Source organism: Homo sapiens, chromosome 17 (assembly GCF_000001405.40).
Source record: "Homo sapiens chromosome 17, GRCh38.p14 Primary Assembly".
In the NCBI taxonomy this organism is placed as follows: domain Eukaryota; kingdom Metazoa; phylum Chordata; class Mammalia; order Primates; family Hominidae; genus Homo; species Homo sapiens.
In genome coordinates, this window is record NC_000017.11 from 8,684,744 (window position 1) to 8,708,210 (window position 23,467).

Sequence of the window (23,467 nt, forward strand, 5' to 3'; positions counted from 1 at the left end):
AATTTAAAAAATGGTTTCAAATTATCTAGTACAAAATTTTCCCTCTAATCACTGAGTTTCATCTGCCTAGTCCTTCCCCAATAAGGGGTAACCATGAATCCTGGTACGTTCTTTAGAGATTTTATTTTCAATGTATCTGTAGGAATAAATAAGCCATGCCCACAACATAAGAGGCACTCTTTTTTTTTTTTTTTTTTTTTTTTTTTTTTGAGATGGAGTCTTGCTCTGTCGCCAGGCTGGAGTGCAGTGGCGCAATCTCGGCTCACTGCAACCTCCACCTCCCGGGTTCAAGCGGTTCTCCTGCCTCAGCCTCCCGAGTAGCTGGGATTACAGGCACATGCCACCATGCCCAGCTAATTTTTGTATTTTTAGTGGAGACCATCCTGGCTAACACGGTGAAACCCTGTCTCTACTAAAAATACAAAAAATTCGCCGGGTGTGGTGGCGGTGGGCTGTAGTCCCAGCTATTCGGGAGGCTGAGGCAGGAGAATGGCATGAACCCGGGAGGCGGAGCTTGCAGTGAGCCGAGATCACACCACCGCACTCCAGCCTGGGCAACAGAGCGAGACTCCGTCTCAGAAAAAAAAAAAAAAAAAAAAAAAAAAAAAAAAGCAAAAAGATCATTCCGTGTAGGAAATAAAAAATTATGGGGTTAGGGTAAGGTTAAAGATAGAAGATCATTTAGAAGTCTTCTGTTTTGTCCCTGGGATTCTCATCTCTGGAAATCAAATCTTCCTTTAAAAATAAACACAAAACCACGTTTCTGTAGTAAAAGGCAGAGTAATGGCACATTCTTACACACTTTGACTCAGCAGACACAGAGACTGACCCGAAGAAACCACAACAACTAAGAAATGCATTTGGGTTGTGGTGGTGTCTCGATTTCTTTAAGAACAATAGGGCCCGGCGCGGTGGCTCACACTTGTAATCCCAGCACTTTGGGATGCCAAGGCGGGCGGATCATGAGGTCAGGAGATCGAGACCATCCTGGCTAACACAGTGAACCCTCGTCTCTACTAAAAAATACAGAAAATTAGCCGGGCATGGTGGCAGGCTAGTCCCAGCTACTCGGGAGGCTGAGGCAGGAGAATGGCGTGAACCCGGAAGACAGAGCTTGCAATGAGCCGAGATCGCGCCACTGCACTCCAGCCTGGGCGACAGAGTGAGACTCTGTCTCAAAAAAAATTAAGAACAGTAGATGGGTACCTGCTTCATCATTGAGCAAGAAAGGTTCAATTCTAGTGAATTTTGTCAAAACAAACAATGATAGAAACGGTCAGCCTTAAGTATAAATTGACATTTCTATTTCTAGAGATAAAAAATTGCTTCCAACTCTTAGCTGACAGTCCCCACTCTTGCTGCCTCAAAGTTTCACAGTTTATAAGGTCCCCTCTTCACCCCTCCTTACACTGGTATTTTTCACCCCACCTGGCCAAGGGAAGGCATTGGCAAGCACACCTCCAGTAGCTAGTGATGCGTTTTAGAATGTTCCCATTTTTATCCTCCCTCCTACACTGTCTCCTTTCTCTCAATTCATCTCCCCAGTGTCTTTTCTATTTGGGTTACCTTCATGCTTTTTTCTCCTGGGTTCCATTATTTTTATAAATTTTAGTTAATCTTTTATTTTATTTTTTAGATGGAGTCTCTCTCTGTCACCCAGGCTGGAGTGCAGTGGTGTGATCTTGGCTCACTGCAACCTCAGCCTCCTGGGTTCAAGCAATTCTCCTGCCTCAGCCTCCTGAGTAGCTGGGACTACAGGTGTGTGCCACCACATCCAGCTAATTTTTGTGTTTTTAGTAGAGACGGGGTCAGGCTGACCATATTGGTCAGGCTGGTCTCGAACTCCTGAACTCAGGTGATCCACTCACCTCAGCCTACCAAAGTTCTGGGATTACAGGTATGAGCCACCACCCGGCCATCTCCTGGGTTCTATTATTGTTTGGCTGCCCTTAATGACTGTGGGCTCCGGGCCAATAGTACAAACAGAGGCCTGTCCTGCTATCTTTCTAAATATTTAGAAATTGTAAACCAAGGCATCAAACTGTTAAATAAAATAGGTTCTTACTTCTTACCATGGTATTCACCTTCATAACAACCTGAGAGGCCAGGTTTGAATTCAGAATTCTCATACTTCTCGAAAAATCATGCTAGAATATGAAAGCGCAGAGAGAGCCTGCCATTGCCGACCTCTGGCTGCAGCCGTCCACCCTTCTCTTCCTACCCTTTGCAACATCTGGTATCACAAGGAGCCTCTTGTGCATAGCTATGGACACCCAGCCCACAAGTCTAGCCTCCATACTCCTGCACCTCCATCCCTACTGCCAGCTTCATCCTGACCACCCCTCAGGCCTAGGGGTGGGTACCACTCTGCTGTAAGAGTCACCCTTGAGGGATGGAATAAGGCAACAGGCCCCTGTAAGCCCTGGAAATGGGCCTGAGGCCATTTGGACAGAGAATTCTGGGGTCCTGGTACCAGAAGTGTGGTCTAAAAGGGAGGAGAAACACAGAACAAGTTCCTCCCCTCCCTTCTTCCCCTCTCTCTCCCCTTCCCTCTCCTTTCCTCCACCCCCCTCCCCTCCCCTCCTCTCTTAACCCTCCCCTCCCCTTTCCTCCTCTCCCCTCCCCTCTCCTCCCCACTCCCTTCCCCTGCCCTCTCCTCCCCACTCCCTTCCCCTCCCCTCCCCTGCCCTCTCCTCTCCTCCCCCTCCCCTCCCCGTCCTCCCATCCTCTCCCTTCCCCTTTCCTCCCCTCCCCTCTCTTTACCCCTCCCCTCCCCTTCCTCCCCTTCCCCTCCCCTCCTTTCGCCTCCCCTCTTCTCCACTCCCTTCCCCTTCCCTCCTCTTCCCACTCTCCCCTCTCCTCCCCTCCCATCCCCTTTCCCCCGCCATCTCCTCCCTTCCCACCCCCTCTCCCCCGCCATCTCCTCCCCTCTCTTCCCCCTCCACCCCTCTCCTCCCCTCCCCTCCCCTCTCCTCTCCCCTCCCCTCTCCCCCTCCCCCTCCCCACCTCTCCTCCCCTCCTTTGGTCCTGAAGAATCCTTTACCCTTTGGAAGCAGGAGGAGAGCCAGAGTGGGGGGCCCTGCTGCCTAGATCCAAGGGCAGTACTGATGGTCTTGATAAATTGTATTACTAGATTTCCTGATATTCATCCATCCTTGTGATTCTGGAATAAACCCTGCTTAGTCATGGTTTTTTTTAAATATACTGCTGGATTCCATTTGCTAATGTTCTACATAGGAATTTTCCATCCATATTCATGAGTGAAATTGATCTCCAGTCTTCTTCATTTGTGCTAACATTGTCAGGTTTCAATATCAGGGTTATGCTAGTTTTGTAAATTGAATTGGGAAACTTTCCATGCTCTTCTATGTTCTTTAACAGTTATTTTGTTCTTTTTAATTTGCAAGGCATTTATAAAAACATTCTCATTGTAAAAAACATTCAAACCATGCAGAAAAAGATAAATTCCCCTTGACTTCCCTTTACATTCTAATCCCTGTCTAGAAATAATCACTGTTAGCCATGTGCTGTGTATTCTCCTAGAGCTTTTCACTTCTATACATACATGTAGCTGTCTATGATTTGGTACTTTTTCTTTACCTAAATGGGATTAAATTCTACATACTAAATTACAAGTTTTTATGTTTTCTGCTCTCCTTCCTTCCCTCCCTCCCTCTCTCCTTTCTTTCTTTCCCTTTCTTTCTCTTTTCTTTCTCTTTCTTTCTTTTTCTTTCTTTTTTTTCTTTCTTTCTTTCTCTTTCTTTCCTTCTCTCTCTCTCTCTCTCTTTCTTGACAGAATCTTGCTCTGTTGTCCAGGTGACAGTGCAGTGGTATGATCTCGGCTCACTGCAACCTCCGCCTCCCAGGTTCAAGCAATTCTCCTGCCTCAGCCTCCCAAGTAGCTGTGATTACAGGTGTGCAGCACCATGCCTTGCTAATTTTTGTATTTTTAGTAGAGACGGGGTTTCACTATGTTGACCAGGCTGGTCTCGAACTCCTGACCTCAGAGGATCTGCCCAGCTCAGCCTCCCAACATGCCAGGATTACAGGCGTGAGCCACTGAGCCCGGCCTTTTTCTTTTTTGAGACAGAATCTCATTCTGTCACCCCAGGCTGGTGCACTGGTGCCATCACTGCCCACTGCAGCCTCAACCTCTAAGGCTCAAGCGATTCTCCCACCTCAGTCTCTTGAGGTGGTGTGCACCTGTAGCCTCAGCTAGTTTTTTAATTTTTTAATTTTAATTTTAATTTCGTAGAGATGAGGGTCTCCCCATGTTGCCCAGGCTGGTCTTGAACTCTTGGGCTCAAGCAGTCATCTTCCTCTGTTGCCCAGGCTGGTCTCAAACTCTTGGGCTCAAGCAATTCTCCCGTCTCGGTGTCCCAAAGTGCTGGGATTATAGGCATGAACCACTGTGCCCAGCTGGTTTTGTGCATTTTTTTAAACCTAAATTTATGTGTTGGAGAGCTCACCATGTCAATACATGTAGACTTATCTCTTCCTTTTAAAATACAACATAATATTCCATAATATAGACATTTTAATTTAAAACTATTTCCCACTTGAGGGACATTTAAGTGGGTTCCAATTTTTCTTCATTATTATTCTGTATTAACTATTTTATCATAACACTTATTACTGCCTAACTTTATCTGATTTAATCTTTTGTTTGTTGGATTGTTCATTTGTTTACTGTTCTGTTTCCTTCCATTAGAACTTCAACTTCTTCCAAGCAAAACCTTTTTCTGTCCTGTTCCTGCTGTGCTTAAAATTGTGTCTGGCACATAGTAGGCACTCAATAAATGTTCACTGACTAAATTAATCAATGAAAGAACCTTTGTAAAAGGCTCTTTGGCCACACATGCTACTGTTTCTTCAGATTAGGTACTAGAAGTGGAAGACCTGAGTCAAAGTTTGCAGGCATTTAAAATTTTCATAGATTCTGTCAAATTGACCTGCAGTCTGACCAGTTTATACTTCCACAAGTAACAAGAGAATCCACCTCCTCATACTCTTGCCAACATACGTTATTAACTAGTTTAACTTTTAATCCAATTTATGAGCTTAAAACATTGTATCTTGGTGGGCACAGTGGCTAGCACCTGTAGTCCCAGCTCCTCAGGATGCTGAGGCGGGAGAATTGCTTGAGCCCAGAAGTTCAAGGCTATAGGAGTTATGATGGTACCACTGCATTCCAGCGTGGGTGACACAGTGAGGTCCCATCTCTTAAAAAAAAAAAAAAAACAGTATGTGGCCAGGCGCGGTGGCTCACGCCTGTAATCCAAACACTTTGGGAAGCTGAGGCGGGCGGATCACCAGAGGCCAGGAGTTTGAGACCAGCCTGACCAACATGGTGAGACCCCCGTCTCTACTAAAAATGCAAAAATTAGCTGGGCGCGGTGGCGCGCGCCTGCAGTCCCAGCTATTCGGGAGGCTGAAGCAGAAGAATCGCTTGAACCCAGGAGGCGGAGGTTGCAGTGAGCTGAGACCGTGCCACTTGTACTCCAGCCTGGTGACAGAGCAAGACTCTGTCCCCGTCCCACCCCCCAAAAAATCTTATTGTTGTTTTAATTTGTACTTCTTTGATTACTACTGCAATTGATGCTGTTTTGTTTCTTTGCGAGTTGGAAATCCTTTTCTGTTAATTATTTGTTGGTGCATTTTGTCCTTTTCCCCCCTACTCAGTTACTTGTATTTTTCTTACTAATTTATGGGAGATTTTAATGTTTTTTGGAAAAAACATTTGTCAAATATCTGGCCAATATTTCCTCCTAACCTGTTGCTTTTGACTTAATTTTGTTTATGGTATCTTTTCAGTCTGTATTATCTAAATTATATTTTAATGAGTCAAATTTATTGGGTTTTGTTTCCAGTTTAAATCTTGTTTAATATTTATTGACTCACATCTGGTGAATAGTGAGAAATGTAGCAACCAGAAAGGATATCTTTTCAAATTGATTTTTTTTTTTTTTTTTTTTTTTTTGAGACGGAGTCTCGCTCTGTCGCCCAGGCTGGAGTACAGTGGCCCGATCTCAGCTCACTGCAAACTCTACCACCCGGCTTCACGCCATTCTCCTGCCTCAGCCTCCCAAGTAGCTGGGACTACAGGCACCCACCACCACGCCCAGCTAATTTTTTGTATTTTTAGTAGAGACGGGGTTTCACCGTGTTAGCTAGGATGGTCTCGATCTCCTGACCTCGTGATCCGCCCGCCTCGACCTCCCAAAGTGCTGGGATTACAGGCATGAGCCACTGCACCCGGCCACTATTTTTCTTTTAATTCTAGTAGAATATGGCTTTCTTCATATGCTAAATAAGGGATTTTTTCCTATGTACAAAATGTAACAACGTTTTTAAACTTATTTGGCATTATTTTTCATTTCTTTCTGTTGTTCACAGGTAGACTTACAAAGGATGAAATTGATCTCTACTACTAAGTGGATCCATCTTCAAGAGAGGGCGTTCAGAACACCCGGAAAGATAAGAAAGGTGAAGGCACCAAACGGCCCTTTGGAGGGCAGACTCCCATTCTGGGTGGAGGGTCTGATTCCCACCAATGATCTGGAATCTCTCAATTATATTTGCTTGGGAGAATAAGGAGTTAAAACAGGTTAGGTCTTGGACTAGGTCTATAGCATTTTTACATGCAGTGTTTTTGTTTCTTAGTCTAAATTTATTTATTGACAGGGTTTCAGTCCTGTTGTCTAGGCTGGAGTGCAGTGGCACAACCACCGCTCACTGCAGCCCCAACTTCCCAGGCACAGGTGATTCTCCCACCTACCTCAGCCTCCCGAGTAGCTGGGACTGCACCATGCCCTGCTAATTTTTTGTAGAAACAGGGTTTTGCCATGTTACTCAGGCTTGTCTCGAACTCCTGGACTGAAGCAATCCACCTGCCTTGGCCTCTCAAGTGCTGGGATTACAGGCATCAGCCACTGTGCCTGGCTTTGTCTAAATTTATAAACCCATAAATTGAATCTCATTTTTCTCACAATAACACCATCCCAATCTACGTCATCCTAATCTACATTAGTGCTTGGTACTAAGTATTTGTCTACAACCCCTCCTTTTCCCATTCCTCCACTTCCTTCTCTTTTATATTATTATTATTATTATTTCTGGATAACCAGTAGCCCTTTTGAGAAAAGCCTGATGCTCAAGGTCAGTGGTTCTCAGCTGGGGTATGCACATCAGAATCGCTTGGGCAGCTTGAAAAAAAATACACTCCTGGGCTCTACCCTAGATTTGAGGAATCAGAATCATAGGGGGAAGGATCAGGAATTCTGAAATGTTTAAAATCTTCCCAGGTGATCCTGATGTGCAGAGTTGAGAATACCTCAGGTATTTTAACACACGGCTTTATCTTTGAAGAACAGAAGAGACCCCATGGGGATACAGTCAGCCAATGTGACTAATTCTACAGGACAAATGACCCAGTTTCCTCAAAAATAAGTGCCATGAAATATATGGAGCAGGGAGGTGGAAACTGTCATAAATCAAAAGACTTGAGATGTGTCAACCAAGTGAAACGTGTAAACCTTATTTGGGTCCCAATCTGAACAGACCGAAAATGGGCATTTTTGAGACACTTAGGGAAAACAGAACACAGATTATTTAATACGAGGGAATTATTTTTGTTGGATATGATATTGGCACAGTGATTGAAAAACAAATTCCTTATCTGTTAGAGCAAAATACTGATGAATTTATGGGTGAAATAATGTATCTGAAATTTACTGGGCTTGGTGGCTCAGGCCTGTAATCCCAGAACTTTGGGAGGCTGAGGTAGGTGGATCACCTGAGGTCAGGAGTTCAAGGCCAGGCTGGCCAACATGGTGAAACCCCGTCTCTACTAAAAATACAAAAATTAGCTGGGCGTGGTGGCAGGTGCCTGTAGTCCCAGCTACTTGGGAGGCTGAGGCAGGAGAATCCTTGAACCTGGGAGGCGGAGGTTGCAGTGAGCCGAGATCGTGCCACTGCGCTCCAGCCAGGCAACAGAGCGAGACTCCGTCTCAAAAAAAAAAAAAAGAAAAAAAGAAAAAAAAAATTAGTCGGGTGTGGCGACGCTCACCTGTAGTCCCAGCTACTTGGGAGGCTGAGGCAGGAGAATCACTTGAACCCGGGATGCAGACTTTGCAGTGAGCCGAGATCGCGCCACTGCACTCCAGCTTGGGTGACAGCGATACTCGATCTCAAAACAAAACAATACATATATAGAGAGAGAGTGAAAAAAAAATCTTATGGAAAACAAACAAAAAAAGAAACAACCATGTGGGAGGAAATGATGAAGTAAGAACACAGTGTTGATAATTGTGAAAACTGGGATGACAGGTATGAGGAGGTTCTTAGTACTATTTACTTTTGTGTATGTTTGAACATTTCAACAATAAAAACATTTTAAAACAATGACATCATCCATAGACCTGAACTCCTCCCAAGTCTAGTTTTCCTGATCCAGACTCCCCCAGGCCTTGTCAGCCCTTCCTTTTGGTGGGTTCTTAGTTCCTTCGGGGCGTACCTGATTGGATCAAGAAACTTTATACAAACTTTTCCTCCTTGCCTGCTTCTTGCCCCTGGGAGTGCAGTGGAAAACTAGAGCCAGAGAGGCAGTTTGCTGCGGATGCTTCACATCCTCTGTAATATAGTGACACTGGCTGTTGGTACCAGAGCGGGGCGACTTACCCACCTGCAAACCTAGCCCAGACCTCCCCTCCATCCGCTCCGCCAGTGGTGCAGCACGTGAGCGCTCGGTTGGAACATCAGGAGTGTGAATTCCAAGAGCAGCTGTGGAACTGAGCCTTGTAAAAATTCCTTGTAGGGGAGAGGGGAGTGTGGTGTCATCAAAGCAAGCAGGTGAAACAAAAAGACAGGGTGTTCTCTTACTGAAATACATCAGGGAGGCGGGGTGTGGTGGCTCCCGCCTATAATCCCAGCACCTTGGGAGGCCGAGGCGGGCAGATCACTTGAGTCCAGGAGTTTGGGACTAACCTGGACCACATGGCAAAACCCTGTCTCTACAAAATAATACAAAAATGAGCCTGGTATCATCGCTCCTGCCTGTAGTCCCAGCTACTCAGGAGTTTGGGGTGGGAGGATCGCTTGAGTCCAGGAGGTCGAGGCTGCAGTGAGCTGTGATGGACCCACTACCCTCCAGCCTGGATGACTGAGGGAGACCTTGTCTCAGAAAAAAAAAAAGAAAGAAAGAAAGAAAGAAAAGAACAGAACAGAAAAGAAATCATCAGCGAGAAGAGCAAGAATCATTCTAATCTGGCCTGAGTGAAAAAGGAGCCCCAAGGTAGCTAGGAACTGGTTTCTCTCTATTTTGTCTTAAAAAGTTATTGCTTTCCAAACTTGGTTTTCTTGACTTTTAAATTAAGGGTTGACTCTATGTGTGTATGTTTAATAAAGAGGATGAGAGGAAAGGGATAATACATAATCGTATGCTATGTAACTATAATTTTATATTTTTCTAAGTTATTTTATATTCTGTATTTATACTTTACATTCTATCTTATAGAAATATAATTTTATAGTAACACATGCTCTAACTGCAGTCGGACTGTCCCAGCGTTGTGACAAAAGTCCCACTGGTGGCAGCTTTCCCTACATCCAGGCCAGATGCCTCAGTAGACATCAGCAGCCTCTTGAACTCCAATCTCTCAAGTCCAATTCCATTAAGTGCTGTCAACAGAGAATGCACAGGGGCAAAACCCTCTCTCTGGACTCTCTCACCTGGCCTCTTGGCTTTTCCTGGATTTGCCAACCCGTTCCCACACCCCAGCTTTCTGATTCATGCTCCTTCTACCTTCACTCCTCTAAAGACACTCACCTCATTGTCATCTCTCTTCTTCTTCTTCTTTTTTTTTTTTTTTTTTTTTTTTTTTTTTTTTTTTTGAGACAGAGTTTCACTCTTGTCGCCCAGGCTGGAGTGCAGTGGCGTGATTTCAGCTCACTGCAATCTCCGCCTCCCAGGTTCAAGCAATTCTCCTGTCTCAGCCTCCTGAGTAGCTGGAATTACAGGTGCCCGCCACCACGCCCAGCTAATTTTTGTATTTTTGGTAGAGACAGGGTTTCACCATGTTGGCTAGGCTGGTGTCGAACTCCTGACCTCGTGATCCACCCGCCTAGGCCTCCCAAAGTGCTGGGATTACAGACGTGAGCCACTACATCCGGTCTCACCCCTCTTCTAAGCTCAAATTCCTCTTCCTTCTGATTCTGCTCAAAAGAATGTAGAAAGTGGAGTGGTGAGATAGGCAGAAGCTTGAACCCACATGCTGCTTGCTTTCTGGGTTGGAGACACCCCACTGTTCACTCAGCCATCCTCCTTTTCTATTTTTCCTTCCTGCTGAACAGAGAGTGGCTGCTGGCCTCTTTCCCTGTGCGTTCTCCACCTAATCTTTGGACCAACGGCAATTTTGTGCTCTTATTAAATGAAGGAGCATGCATGGAAAACCACTTCTGGGTGGCCCACAATGGGGACAAGAGGAACACCACGTTGCTTGTGTCAAATCAAGGATTGTGCCAAGGGCGTTTCTCTGCACCACCTGAAGTGCCCTCTTGGAGTTGTCTTGCCAGGTTTAGCCTTGACCTCCCAGGAAAAGACAAATGGCAGTGAGTACCTTCATAGTTGAGTGGTATGGAAGGCAATGGTGTTGCTTATGCAACACAATTCTGGGATTGCATTCCAGCTTCCCCACATAGTGGTTGTGGGACCTCGGCCAAGGGATTTAGCCTCTCTGAGCCTCAGTTCTTTTATCTTTAAAGTGGGCAGAGTAACAGAACCAAAGGAAATAACATGTCTTCCTTGCCAAGCATGGTTCAGTGCATAGCAATTGTTCAGCAGTATAACTATTTTATAAACGATTCTATTTGATCTTTATTAAACTTCTCTACCTCCTGATTTTGTGGTTGAAGAGAAACTGGGTTTTAAGAAATTATAGTCCGGGCGCAGTGGCTCATGCCTGTAATCCCAGCACTTTGGGAGGCTGAGGTGGGTGGATGACCTGAGGTCAGGAGTTCAAGACCAGCCTGGCCAACATGGTGAAACCTTGTCTCTACTGAAAATACAAAAATTAGCCAGTCGTGGTGGTGATGGTTGCCTGTAATCTCCGCTACTCTGGAGCCTGAGGTAGGAGAATCATTTGAGCCTGGGAGGCGGACGTTGCAGTGAGCCGAGATTGTGCCACTGCACTCCAGCCTGGGCAATAGTGTGAGACTCTGTCTCAAAAGAAAGAAAAGAAATCAGAAGCATGAATAGCAGGGCCCCTGGTCATTCAGGACAGAGCCAGGCAGGAGTTAGGGTTCCAACTCCCAGGCCAAGGCTCATCCTAATCCTCCAACAAGAGACCCTTTTAGCACTCTGGCCAGTGGGTTTACTTAGGAGACCGGAGAATGCCCCAGGTTGGGGAATCAGGAGCTGGTGGTCTCAGGTCAGACAATCCAGAAAGAGTCAGTCTGGTCTGCACACACCAGAATCACCTGGGATACGTGTTATATCCTTGCCTGAGATCACGACATAAGAATTTCTGGACTGGGCTCAGACACCAGTCTTACTGAAAAGCTCCCTTGTGTTTCTCCTGTGTAGTGGGGGTTGAGTCCCCCTGTGCTAGAGGGACAGGGAGTGCAATGCTGGAAGAACCATTCCTGTTATGTGGAGTGAATTAGAAGACAGCGGTCACCAAAGCCGTATGTTGCCCAGAGTGTGGTTTCTCTGAGGATGGTTTCAGGACATCATGGGAGAGGCTGGTGGCCTACCTTGCCTGGGACGTCGGAGGTGCAGCTGCTCCTGCGAGCATCCCCAAGCTTGCCCCTACCACTCGAGAACTACTCTAAACCCTGTCCAATTGGTTTATATTTGAGGCTTGCACCGCCGCCCTGGTGGGTCAACAGTGTCACCTCTGATGAGTAAGTTTGGCGCTCAGGGGAGGGTCTGGGCTGGAGGTGTAAGCCTGGGAAATCCTGACTGCCTCAGGCTAGAAATAGAAAGTAAATTCCTGACAGTGTGTGGGAGATGGCCCAGGGGCTCAGAGGAGAGTTTCTGGTGGGGTTTCTGGGGATCAACAATATTTATCTGAGTCTGTTAACATCTCAGGGGCTGGATTCCTGTGTTGCCATTTTTGCTACCTTCAGGCCAGGTGTGACTGCACCCTGGGAAGGCTGGAGAGAGCATCTCTTGCTTGGTTGGGGCAGCTGGGAAGGGTGAGCCTCTAACCATTGGCAAGGAAAGGTTCTGGGAGCTGGGGGATGTTGTCTGTGGTGACTCCACACTTCTTGGAGTCTTGCTCAGCCTCAGGGGCTGGTCTGCACCTGGGCAGCTCACCTGGGCTGAAGGGGTGCAGGAAAGAGCGGGGGCGTTGGCGAGGGGAGAAAGAAGGAGAGTCAGCAGCAGAGGCCCCTCTGGGGGTGGTGAGGAGGGGAAAGACTTCAGGGACCTGCCAGGGAGGAAGGCAAAGGTGGGGGAGGAGCGGAAGGGCTGCGGATCAAGGCAGGGACAGGAGGGCCTGCGTGTCTCTACCCCCACATTCCTTCTGGGATTTTTTTTCGTTCCCTTGGTTATAGAAGAATAGCAATTAGCAAATTCAGTAAAAAGGGCCAGAAATGGAGATTGTTTGTGAATTGGGGGCCAAGATGCATGAGTGAAGGAATGTGACCAGAACTATATATAACCCCTCCCTTGGCCCACCCACCTGTCCAGCGGAGTGAGCGATGGTCTGTTTGTTCTGGGCTGGTATGTAGCTCATTTCACTCTAGGAGCCCACCATCTGGACCTGGGCCTCGCTGCCAGTAGCTCTCGGTGACCATATATGGCAAAATGATATATGTGATAAAAAGAAGTCAAATTCCCCAATTGCGTCAGCCCCTGGAGCATGCAGCCTGCCTGGCTCGAGCCCCTTCCAGCCTCTCTCCCAGCCTTCTGCCCCGCAACTTTGCTCCGGAAACCAAAGGGGCTCAGAGATTGACTGGGGGAGCAGGGAGCTGGGGGCGGGGCTGCCATCCCTTCACCCGTTCACCCCAACGTTTGTTTGGGGTGGGGAGGATAATTAGCGAGGGCCTGAGCTGCCAATGTATTTGCCTCTGGCCTTAAACCAGGAAGATTAGAAACTAAGTGATAACTCACATTCTTTCCAGAAAGCAGCCTAGTGTGGCGCCAGTATGTATGTGGGTAGGAGGTGGGGGGCATAGTCCCACTGGGGTTCTGTCCACCCCCAATCCCAAAGATCACATGGCCCCCAACATCCCTTAAATTCCCTTGAACCTTAACCTGCCAGGAAAAATGTTCAGTCCACATAGCTTATCTGGGGGAACAAAATAGAATAAAATTTACACACACACACACACACACACACACACACACAATTTTTCTCTCCCCAAACTTTCTTTCTTCCTTTCTTCTGCTCTGCCTTGTCCCCAGCATCCACACCTGATGCATGGCTGCGTGCACCACCCTGCAAGGGAGCTCCCACTCTGGGCCAGACATTGTGCAGGAGGCCAGAGGAAGGTGACAGTATAGAGCAGATCCTGGCTCTCACGCAGCGTGTCCTGGATGAGGCAATGGACTGCTGCCATACGGGGCATCCAGCCAGACACAAGGGCTCAAGGAAGCTTCTGGGAGGAGGCGACACTTGAGCTGAATCTTAAAGAACAAGCAGTAGTTAGCCTAATGATGGATGGGGATTAGAACCGGAAACCCCGGGCTGAGGAGAGAAAGCGGGGGAGAGAGACCAGATGGGGCTGAGTGCCTCCAGGTGTGGAGAGACGTGAGGCTGGAGGTAAACAGGGGCCAGAGCATGGAGCCTTTTTCTAGGAGATGTTAAAGGGACTGGGTCTCTGTCACCATCTCCCACTCCCAGCTCCCAGCCTTCTATCTCACAGCTCAGTCCACCACCGCGGAGCATGGGTCAGGTCAGGCACGTGTGCACGCGCGCGCGCGCGCACACACACACACGAATATGCCCGGAAATGTATACTCAATGCCACATCACATAAGCAAGGACATTTAGCAAAAGGGAAGAAAAGAAGAAAAATGATGTTCAAATGAGAACCAGGGAGAGACGGCAGGCCTGGGGGAGGGCACTCAGCCAGGAAGGGGAGAGGAGGAGTGGAAGTGGGAAGTGCGTGGGCGGGAGAGCCAGGAGGCTGTTGATGGAAAGGGAGCTGGAGAATGCTCTGGGCTCTCCGCAAGGGGAAGACACAGACAGCAGCGGAGACAGCTGGTCAGCAGAGGTGGTGGGAGTGGGGGGCGAAGCACAGAGTCTAGAGCCCAGCCTCCCCCATCCAAGGCTCAGCTCGGATGTGTGTCCCCTCACGCCTCGCCCGCGGGAACTGTGGCTCCTCCTTTAGCTGACCACAGTGGTGGGCATTGGCTGCAGGAGGTCCCTGAGAAAGCCCTCCAGTGTGGTCCAGGAGGGAGATAGGGCCTGGGGATCTGTCTGATGCTCCGCTTTAGTGTGGATACATTGATCAGATGTGTTCCCTGGCATCCTGGAGGGTTCGAAAGCCTGTTCTGAAGGGTGAGTGTCCTTCATGGCACATGCCTCAGAGACCTGTGTTCCCTGTGCATTCAGAGGGGAGGATCATATTTTAGGACTCAGCCGAGGCTTTGCTTCCACCTCCTTGGCTCCTCAGGGCTAGGCCAGGGACGTGCCTGTGTATTCGTTTGGAAATCCCAATGCAATGCAGTGGGACATGCTTAGGGCAAGTGAAGGGCAGGTGCACTGTCTTTTATGACCCACCCTTGGCAGCCGCACAGTCACTTCCGTTGTATTCTGTTCAGAGCTACTGTGATACCATCAGGGAGGAGACTATGCAAGGGCACCAGTTCCAGGAGGTGAGGGTCTTTAAGGCCATCTTGGAGATTGGCCACTGCAGTCACTAAATTTTGGGGTAATTTGTCATGCAGCCATAGATGACTAATACAGGCAGAGATGTCCTTGATGGGGTGCTTGGCCCAGGGTGGCAGGCAGGTAAGGTGGGGCAGGACTTGACTCTGGGTCTCTTAGATAAGATTCTTTTCACTACAAGAGATTTAAACTTCTATTTTATTTATTTTATTATTTATTTATTTATTTATTTATTTATTTATTTATTGAGAAGAAGTTTTGCTCTTGTTGCCCAGGCTGGAGTGCAGTGGCGCGATCTTGGCTCACTGCAACCTCTGCCTCCTGGGTTCAAGTGATTCTCCTGCTTCAGCCTCCCGAGTAGCTGGGATTACAGGTGTCTGCCCTCACGCCCAGCTAATTTTTTTATTTTTAGTAGAGACAGAGTTTCACCATGTTGGCCAGGCTGGTCTTGGACTCCTGACCTCTGGTGATCGTCCCACCTTGGTCTCCCAAAGTGCTGGGATTACAGGTGTGAGCCACCATGCCTGGCCAAAAAAATTCATTTTAAACTGAAGTATAGAAAGAAATGTATGGGCCCACATAACAGAAAAGACCAGAATCAGTGCTGGTTTTGAGTAGCTGAAACTAAGATGTTAGAGAAAGTATGTGACTCGTAGTCAAATGGGACACATGGAGCACATAGGAGTGTTTGGAGGAGAGGTCAGCAGCAGCTAGAGTGATGGGCAGTGGAGATTCCTTTGTGTATGTGCTCAATTTCTACACCAAAAAAGAAAAGAACAGCAACAGCAAACAAACAGTGGAGATGCTTCTATGTGTGTGTGTGGGGGGGGTCAATTTGTTGGTTTCTTTCGCTTTCTTTGTATAGGATTCAGCACAGGCACGTGCCTATCTCAGCACCTTCACAGCAGAGAGCGAATCTCTGCATCCAGTTACCCCAGAGACACATCTGGACACCTCCCCGCAACAAAGCCCCCAAGACCTTCCAGAAGAGGAGCTGTGTCCAAGAGCCCCCTTCCTGTTATGGGAAGTGCACTATCTTCTGACCCTCATATCTGTTGCCTCTATTTGTTGCTCTCTCATAAACCAATCCAAATGGAGGGCATCTGTATTGCCAAAGGGATTGGTCACTCAGCTTCGTCGGATGCAAGAAAAGATTCTGAGGGTAGGGACGGGCATCGGTCTTGCTGACTGCCCTCTCTGCAGCTGTCAGGACTGGGCTTAGCATGTAGTAGGTGGCCCATAAATATTTGTTGAATGAACACATATCGTCGGGAAAAAGGAGGTTGTTGTAAGGACACGCAGAAGAACCAGAACTGGAACTGGAAGTCAGAGCGGAAGTGGCCCCAGGGACCAGTGAGTCTCAGCCTGTCTCTCAGGGGCTGTGTCTTTTCTCACTACGCACCTGCTAAGATGTGGCACTTGCCATGGCCTCCCCATTCCACCTCATGGCATTCTTCACTGTCAACTTTCAGCCTCCAGCTTCCAGGAGCCTTATACTATGGGTGACTCGCTTCTCTTCTATATTTAACCGCTTCCTCCAAACCAGACCCTTCCCATCAACATTTAAACATTTCAGGTCTCTCCCACTGAAAGAACAAACCAACCAACCCTCTCCAACACAAGACCTTCTCCAGTTACTGCCTTCCTTCCCTTCACGACCAGCTTCTGGAAAGGTTTTTCCACATTCCCCATTTTCGTCTCTTCCCCTCACTCAGTTCTTGCTCATTCCATTCTGGGTTCCTCTCCATCACTCCATTGACGTAAGTCTTGCTGCGGTGCCAGTGACATCCTAGTTGTTCCAGTCCTCACCTTGCATGACCCACAATCACACTAGACACAGATGGTCAAGTTTCTCATTGAACTCACCAGATGTTTCGCCTCTTTCTCTCTGTTGCCCCGTTTCAGCCTCCTTCGCCAGCTCAGGTCCACTGCCAGGCTGGTGGGGTTCCTCAAGCGCTGGCCCAGGGCCCCCTTGCTGTCCACGCTGTACTTTCTCAGTGGGCAGTTGTCTGTGTTCCTTTCTTTCTTTCTGAGACAGGGTCTCACTCTGTCACTCAGGCTGGAGTGCAGTGGTGCAATCTCAGCTCACTGCAGCCTCCGCCTCCCAGGCTCAAGCGATCCTCCCACCTCAGTCTCCTGAGTAGCTGGGACAACAGGTGCATGCCACCACACCGGGCTACTTTTTGTATTTTTTGTAGAGACAGGGTTTCACCATGTGCCTGGGCTGTGTGTTAGTTATTTAGGCTCTTCTGTTACTATATATACATTTGTGACCCTTGTGATAACAGCTCTTCCTTCTCCTCTGCTTCCAAGAACATGTTAGGACTTCCTCACCTCCTTGGGACATGGTTATGAAGATGAGAGTAAATGACACGTCACTTCCGGACAGAATCTTTCAGAGTCAACTTGCAATTCACGATGTCCCTGTCTCTGCCTTAATCATAGTGGAAGCACCTGCTGAGATGGAAGTTTCCTCAGCCTGGTCTCTGAGGGTCTATGATGAGCAGTCTTCCCTAGTATCCGCTTTGGAGAAATAGATCTTAACTGAATTAAGATACTGAGGTTTGGCATTATTTATTTATGTATCTATTTATTTACTTGTAACATCTTTGTTAGATTTTGGTATCTGGTTATTGCTAGCCTCCTCAAACAAACTGAGAAGAGTTCTTTCCTGCTCTATTTTCTGAAAGAATTTGCTTAAGATTTGTGTAACTTCTTTCTCAAATGTTTGATAGAATTCACCAGGGAAACTATCTGGGCTAGGAGCTTCCTTCCTCTTTCTTTCTTCTTTGTCTCTCTTTCTGTCTTTTCTTTCTTTTCAAAAGCTCTACTTATATAGCATTGACATTTAAAAATTGTACATATTTAAGCTGTACAACTTGATTTAACTCTAAACAATAGTTTTATTTAAATAATATTTTTTATTATACTTTAAGTTCTGGGATATATGTGCAGAATGTGCAGGTTTGTTACATAGGTATACATAGGTTTGTTACATATGTGCCATGGAGGTTTGCTGCACCCATCAACCTGTCATCTACATTAGGTATTTCTCCTCATGCTATCACTCCCCTAGCCCCCCATCCCCCAACTTGATGTTTTGATATAGATTGTGAAATGATCACAACACAGCCAATTAAATATCTACCTCTTCTACATAGTTACCCTTTGTGTGTACGTTGAAAAGATTTACGATCTATCATCTTCTGAAGTTTTCTTTGTGGGAAATGTTCTGATAATGAATTCAATTTCTTTAATAGATGGAACTATTTAGATTTTGGATTTCATTTTGTAATCTTATCAAGCCATTTTGCCCGTCTCAGTTGCCAAATTTATTGGCATAAAGTTGTTCATAATATTTTCTTATTACCTTTTAATGCCTGTGGGCTCTGTGGTGATATTGATGCAGGATTTTTTTCGGCCCCTTTGCCGAACTTGTGGCAGGGGCGCCCCATCTATTTGGCTCACTGCGCTCAGCCCCTTGAGGGAGGGAGCATGTGAGAGAGTGAGTGCAGGATCTGGCTCGCTGCAGGATCTGGCTTGCCACAGGAGCAAGCTCTGTTTGGGGGGCCTGTGGCCAGACCAGGTGTGTCACCTTGAGGGGAACAGTGACACCCAGGTGAGGTTGCCCATGACCCCGAGGCCCCAAAGGGGGTGTGTTATAGTAGTCTTTTAGTTCCACTGTCCATGGTCTGATGGACAGTGGTGTGTTAGCAGCTTAGTTGGCCCCTTGCCTCGTCATGTGGGGTAGCTGCCCTCCGCTGCTGAGGGCAAAGGGCCATTGTGACAGCCTTTTCTGGGTACCTGCACTTGGTGGGTCCTGAGGTCTTATCCAGCATCCAGGAAGAAACTCTTCCATCACCTGCATGACCTCATTCTGCCTGGATGCTGGACAAGAGCTTGGGACCCAATGAGTGGGTGAAGACAGAGCATTTTATTGAGTGACGGAAACAGCTCTCAGTGGAGAGGGGAGCTGGAGAGGGGATGGGAAGGGAAGGTTGTCTTCCCCAAAGTCAGGTTGTCTCTTCCTCGAAGTCAGGCCATCTCCCCTTCTACTGACTGAGTCTTTATAGGCACAGGATGGGGAGTGTGTGCTGATTGGTTTGTGAGTATGCAAAGAAGGTTAAAATTAAGAGATCACTCAAAGGTGGGCATGACAGTGTAGAAAACCAATTAGGAAAGGGTAGGTATATGTAAAATAGGTGAAAGGTGGGGATCAATCAGAGGAAGGCACACCAAACAGGAGGACAAATTCTTAATCCAGTCCAAGGATTTAACTTGTAGTTTGGCTTTCAGGCTTTAAACTGTCTTTGGTTTGGAGGTGGGGCTTCACCAGGGACCTGCTCCTGTCTGCCGAGGCATTTGACTGCCTCCTGTTACTATCAATATCTCCTTTCATTCCCTAAATTTATAATTTGCATGCTGTCTCTTTAATCAACCTAGCCAGCTAGGAGTTTATAAATTTCGTTGATATTTTCAATGAACCAGCTTTTGGCTTTGTTAATTTTCTCTTCTTATATGTTTTCTGCTTCACAAATATTGACTGTTTTTTTATTATTTTTTCCTTTCTTCTACTTAAAGTTTACTTTGCTCTTTTTTATCCTAGCTTTTTGAAGTGGAACCTTAGATCCTTACTTTTACATCTTTCTTCTTTCCTAATAAAGCTAAATATTTTCCTTTAAGCACTCCTTTAGTTGTAAATCACAAATTTTGATAGATTATACTTTTATTTATTGTTCAGTGCAAAATAATTTTTAATTACTCATTTTCTTTGTGACTTATTCTTCTACCCATGGGTTATCTGGAAGTGTGTATTTAATTTCCAAATATTTGGGTTGTGCCAGATATCTTACTGTAATTGACTTCTAATTTCAATAAATTAAGATTTATCGAAGGTTTCAATAGTTTGAAATGTATTGAGACTCGTTTTATGGCCCAACTCGTTTTATGGTCTATCTTGGAGAATGTACAATGTGTACTTGGAGTGTTCTACAAATGTCAGTTAGGTCAAGTGGTTGACAGCATTGTTCAGATCTTCTTTTTCTTTCTTGTGATTTTTCTTTCTTAACCATTATATATATTAGCCAACCCTGACTAATACAGTCCTAAAATCTGCATCTCTGGCCTTGAGTCTCTGAGCTCTAGGCCCATATCTGACTGTATACAATACATCTTTACTTGTATATTTCAAAGACACTTCAAATTAACTATTGAAGAGAATGAACTCATGATCTTTCCCCAGAAAACTGGTGCTTTTCCAAGGTTCTTCATCTCAGTGGATGGCACCTCTGCTATCCATCCAGTTTCCCCAACCAGGAACCTAAAGTCATCCCTCAGACCTTTTTCTTTTTTTGAGACAGAGTCTCACTCTGTCGCCCAGGCTGGAGTGCAGTGGCACGATCTTGGCTCACTGCAACCTCCACCTCCCGGGTTCAAGTGATTCTCCTGCCTCAGCCTCCTGAGTAGCTGAGATTACAGGTGTGTGCCACTAAGCCCAGCTAATTTTTGTATTTTTAGTAGAGATGGGGTTTCACCATGTTGGCCAGGCTGGTCTCAAAGACCTCAAGTGATCCACCTACCTCAGCTTCCCAAAGTGCTGGGATTACAGGTGTGAGCCACTGCACCCAGCCCCTCAGGCCTTTTTCTGTCTTGCTGTCTCCACATCCAATCTAACTCCAATCCCAGCTTTTCCTCCTCAATATAGTTCACATCCATCCACTTACCTCCATCTGTGCTGCCACCGCCCTTGTGCAAGCCATCATTCCTCCCTTAGATAACGGCAGTACCTCCTTGCTCTTCTCTCCACTTCATTCTCCACACAACAGCCAGGGTAAAGCTGCAAAAGCCCCAGTCTTATCATTTACCCCTTGCACACTTGACCACTTAAAATCATTCACGAGCATCTCATTGCTCTGCAGATAATGACCCAAATCTTTCCCATGGCCCACGAGACCCTGTGTGCTCTGGCCCTGCTCCCCGCCCCCATCTCCAGTCTCCCCTCACTCACTACACTTCTGCCACATTCACCCCCTTCTACCACAGGGTCTTTGCACATGCTGTTGGTCCCAAATGAAATGTTCCTCCCCCACCTGCACCCAATTTTGTCCAACTATCCTCTTCCTTGGTTGAGGTCCACTTTTTTTTTTGAGATGGAGTTTTGCTCTTGTTGCCTGGGCTGGAGTGCAGTGGCGTGACCTCGGCTCACTGCCACCCCCACTTCCCAGGTTCAAGTGATTCTCCTGCCTAAGCCTCCCAAGTAGCTGGGATTACAGGCGTCTGCCACCATGCCTGGCTACTTTTTGTATTTTTAGTAGAAATGGGGTTTCACCATGTTGGCCAGGCTGGTCTTGAACTCCTGACTCAGTTGATCCATCTGCCTCGGCCTCCCAAAGTGCTGGGATTACAGGTGTGAGCCACTGCACCCGGCCCACTTGTCTTTCTGATCCCAGCTCTGTTTCACTTCCCAGGGAGCACCTCCTCTAACCTCTGTGTCAGTTTGGGTCCTTTGAGAAGCAGATATCAAAGTGGGATTAGATATGCAGGAGATTTACCTGGGGTTAATGATGTAAAGGATGAAGAGCTGACCTGCTGGTAATATCCCTTCTGTGTTTGGTCATTGGCCCAGAGCTACCTGGGGAGGGAGAAGTGTTGGTGTCACGCTGGGGGAGATTTGAAGGTGTAGCAGTTGGAAGCTGTCAGCCAACCACATGCCTCACAAAACCGTCTCTTCAAGGGACACATGCATAGCACCCCTCCACAGCCACACAACAGCTCCCTAAACCAGAGCGTGCTCCTTCGATACATATAGTCATAGGACAATGTTCCCTCTTTTCAGAGAACTGACCTGGGTTGCAATTATACCCCTCGTGAGCGTTATTTTTATTTGAGGTCTGTCTCTGCTTGAGAACAGGGACAATGGACTCACTGGCCATTGTGTCTCTTGCCCATGACAGTGTGTTCAATAAATGCTTGCAAGAAAAAAATGAAAGAATGAATCAGTGATTCATGACCAAGCCAGTCTCTCTGCATTCTCTAGTCCTAATTCACAAAATAGAACCTGATGGCCCAGCTCACCTTTTCCCCCCTCCGGCCATGGGACACCAAGGGGCTGATGCTGACCCTGTCCATCAGTTATGTGGGGGAGGGGAGTCATGTGGTACAAATCTGGGGTGCCACAGTGGATTTCTCTAGAATGAGTACCTTGGAACCGCCACGAAGTCTTTGTGTATTTTTTTTTTTTTTTTTTGGTAAAAGCATGGCACTCTTCACCTGACTTAATCTTCCAGAGACTGGAGTTGTGAGTAGTAGTGCAGACACCTGTGAGTCCTCATCCCCCCAGCATGAATTGTCCCCAGGGAACAGGTCCTTATGCCTGAGGCTTTAAATACACAAACACAGCAGCACCCCCTCTGCTTCCCCAGAAACCTACCCTCTGTTTCATTTTCTCTGAGATGTTTTAGCTGAGACTAAGGCAGCATCTCAGGACTGGAAACTTCCTGGAGCTTACTCACATAGAATGAAAATACAGCAGCGTTAGAAACAGGGCCATAGACTCAGACTAGACCTGAGTTCAAATCCCAGCCCCTTCACTTCCAAGCTCTAGGACTCTGGGCTGTTACTTAATCTCTCTGAGCCCCCTTTTCTCATCTCTAAAACGGAATTAGCAAAATAGCAAAACCAAACAGGCAGTTAAGAAGATGAAGCAAAATGTCTCTAGTAGCGGCTCAAAGTTCAGGGCACATTAGCCTATTAGCAGCTCTGAAAAATCCTGCAGTAAAGAAACCCAGCTTTCCCCAAGCCTATTTGGCAGCAGGTTTGTGAAGCACAACCACGCACGAGATTCTGGTGTTCTTTGGAAAGCACTGCTCTAGAGAATGTAGCTTTTCTCTTTAGATCACTGTGGACCTTCAAAACTACCACAAATAAGATCCAGATGGCTTTGGCCTCCTGAAAAACCATTCTGAATTGAGTTCGAGGGTGTTATATCTCTGGATTTCATTGAGGAATGCTGGAACTCTCCAACATGTTCATCACTGTGTGCTCTGCAGGGACGTTGTGGATGACATCGTGTGATGCTCCTCTCTTTAATGCTAACGGACACTTTCTCCAGTCAAAGCTGGTCATGGTCATAGCGGCATGGAATGTTTTAAGTGCACAGAAGGTTAGAGGCCAGCTTGTTTTACCTCTTCATTTTGCAGATGAGCAAACAGGTCCAGTTAGAAAATCAAGTGACTCATCCAGGGACAGACAGAACGAGGGGCAGAGCTCAGAACTCAGACCCAGCCAGCTGTTGTGCACTGAATGGACACCGCTGGGCTCTCAGGAAGATGACAGCTCCTTGGTTAGATGCAGAAACATGAAGGACCACCCGTTGGGGACTGGTAGGCCCCTTGGCCCTTGGCTCCTTCTTCCGACATGGCTATGAGGAGGGAGGTGAGGGGAAGGGCAGGATTATGGTGGAAGACCAGGGGTCTGTGGGTCTGAGTCCAGATGGCAGGCAGCTGGGCCGAGGCACACACCAACGACTACTTCCTCTTCTTTCTGGTGATTCCAAGGGTGAGAAGGCTGAGAAGGAACTTGCAACAGATGGAAGGGAGACCAGAAGGAATTTGGAATGGGCCCAAGGGGTC

General features: G+C 47.0%; 1 long non-coding RNA gene across 4 annotated transcripts in view, besides 4 other annotated features; it reads left to right on the forward strand.

Annotated features, from left to right (window-relative positions):
- Window positions 1-23,467, forward strand: part of LOC105371525 (uncharacterized) — a 50,875-nt gene that overhangs the window by 14,162 nt on the left and 13,246 nt on the right. For 2 of the 4 annotated variants that reach the window (XR_001752781.1, XR_001752784.1), the window contains exon 2: window positions 6,397-6,486. This is a non-coding gene — a long non-coding RNA (uncharacterized LOC105371525). Of the gene's footprint in view, window positions 1-6,396; window positions 6,487-15,702; window positions 16,191-17,150; window positions 19,732-23,467 lie in introns of those variants that run through there. The other 2 variants (XR_934213.3, XR_001752783.2) reach the window with 2 other exon arrangements.
- Window positions 11,807-12,317: an enhancer, noted in NCBI's record as "H3K27ac-H3K4me1 hESC enhancer chr17:8599868-8600378 (GRCh37/hg19 assembly coordinates)". NCBI's record gives its function as "activates a minimal SCP1, AML or CMV promoter by ChIP-STARR-seq in naive H9 embryonic stem cells {active_cell/tissue: H9 hESC(naive)}" and the evidence as "EXISTENCE:reporter gene assay evidence [ECO:0000049][PMID:30033119]".
- Window positions 12,318-12,827: an enhancer, noted in NCBI's record as "H3K27ac-H3K4me1 hESC enhancer chr17:8600379-8600888 (GRCh37/hg19 assembly coordinates)". NCBI's record gives its function as "activates a minimal SCP1, AML or CMV promoter by ChIP-STARR-seq in naive H9 embryonic stem cells {active_cell/tissue: H9 hESC(naive)}" and the evidence as "EXISTENCE:reporter gene assay evidence [ECO:0000049][PMID:30033119]".
- Window positions 12,318-12,942: a biological region, named in NCBI's record as "Sharpr-MPRA regulatory region 493".
- Window positions 12,648-12,942: an enhancer, noted in NCBI's record as "tiled region #493; K562 Activating non-DNase unmatched - State 23:Low, and HepG2 Activating DNase unmatched - State 9:DNaseU". NCBI's record gives its function as "activates a minimal TATA promoter and a strong SV40 promoter by Sharpr-MPRA in K562 cells, with weaker activity in HepG2 cells {active_cell/tissue: K562 | HepG2}" and the evidence as "EXISTENCE:reporter gene assay evidence [ECO:0000049][PMID:27701403]".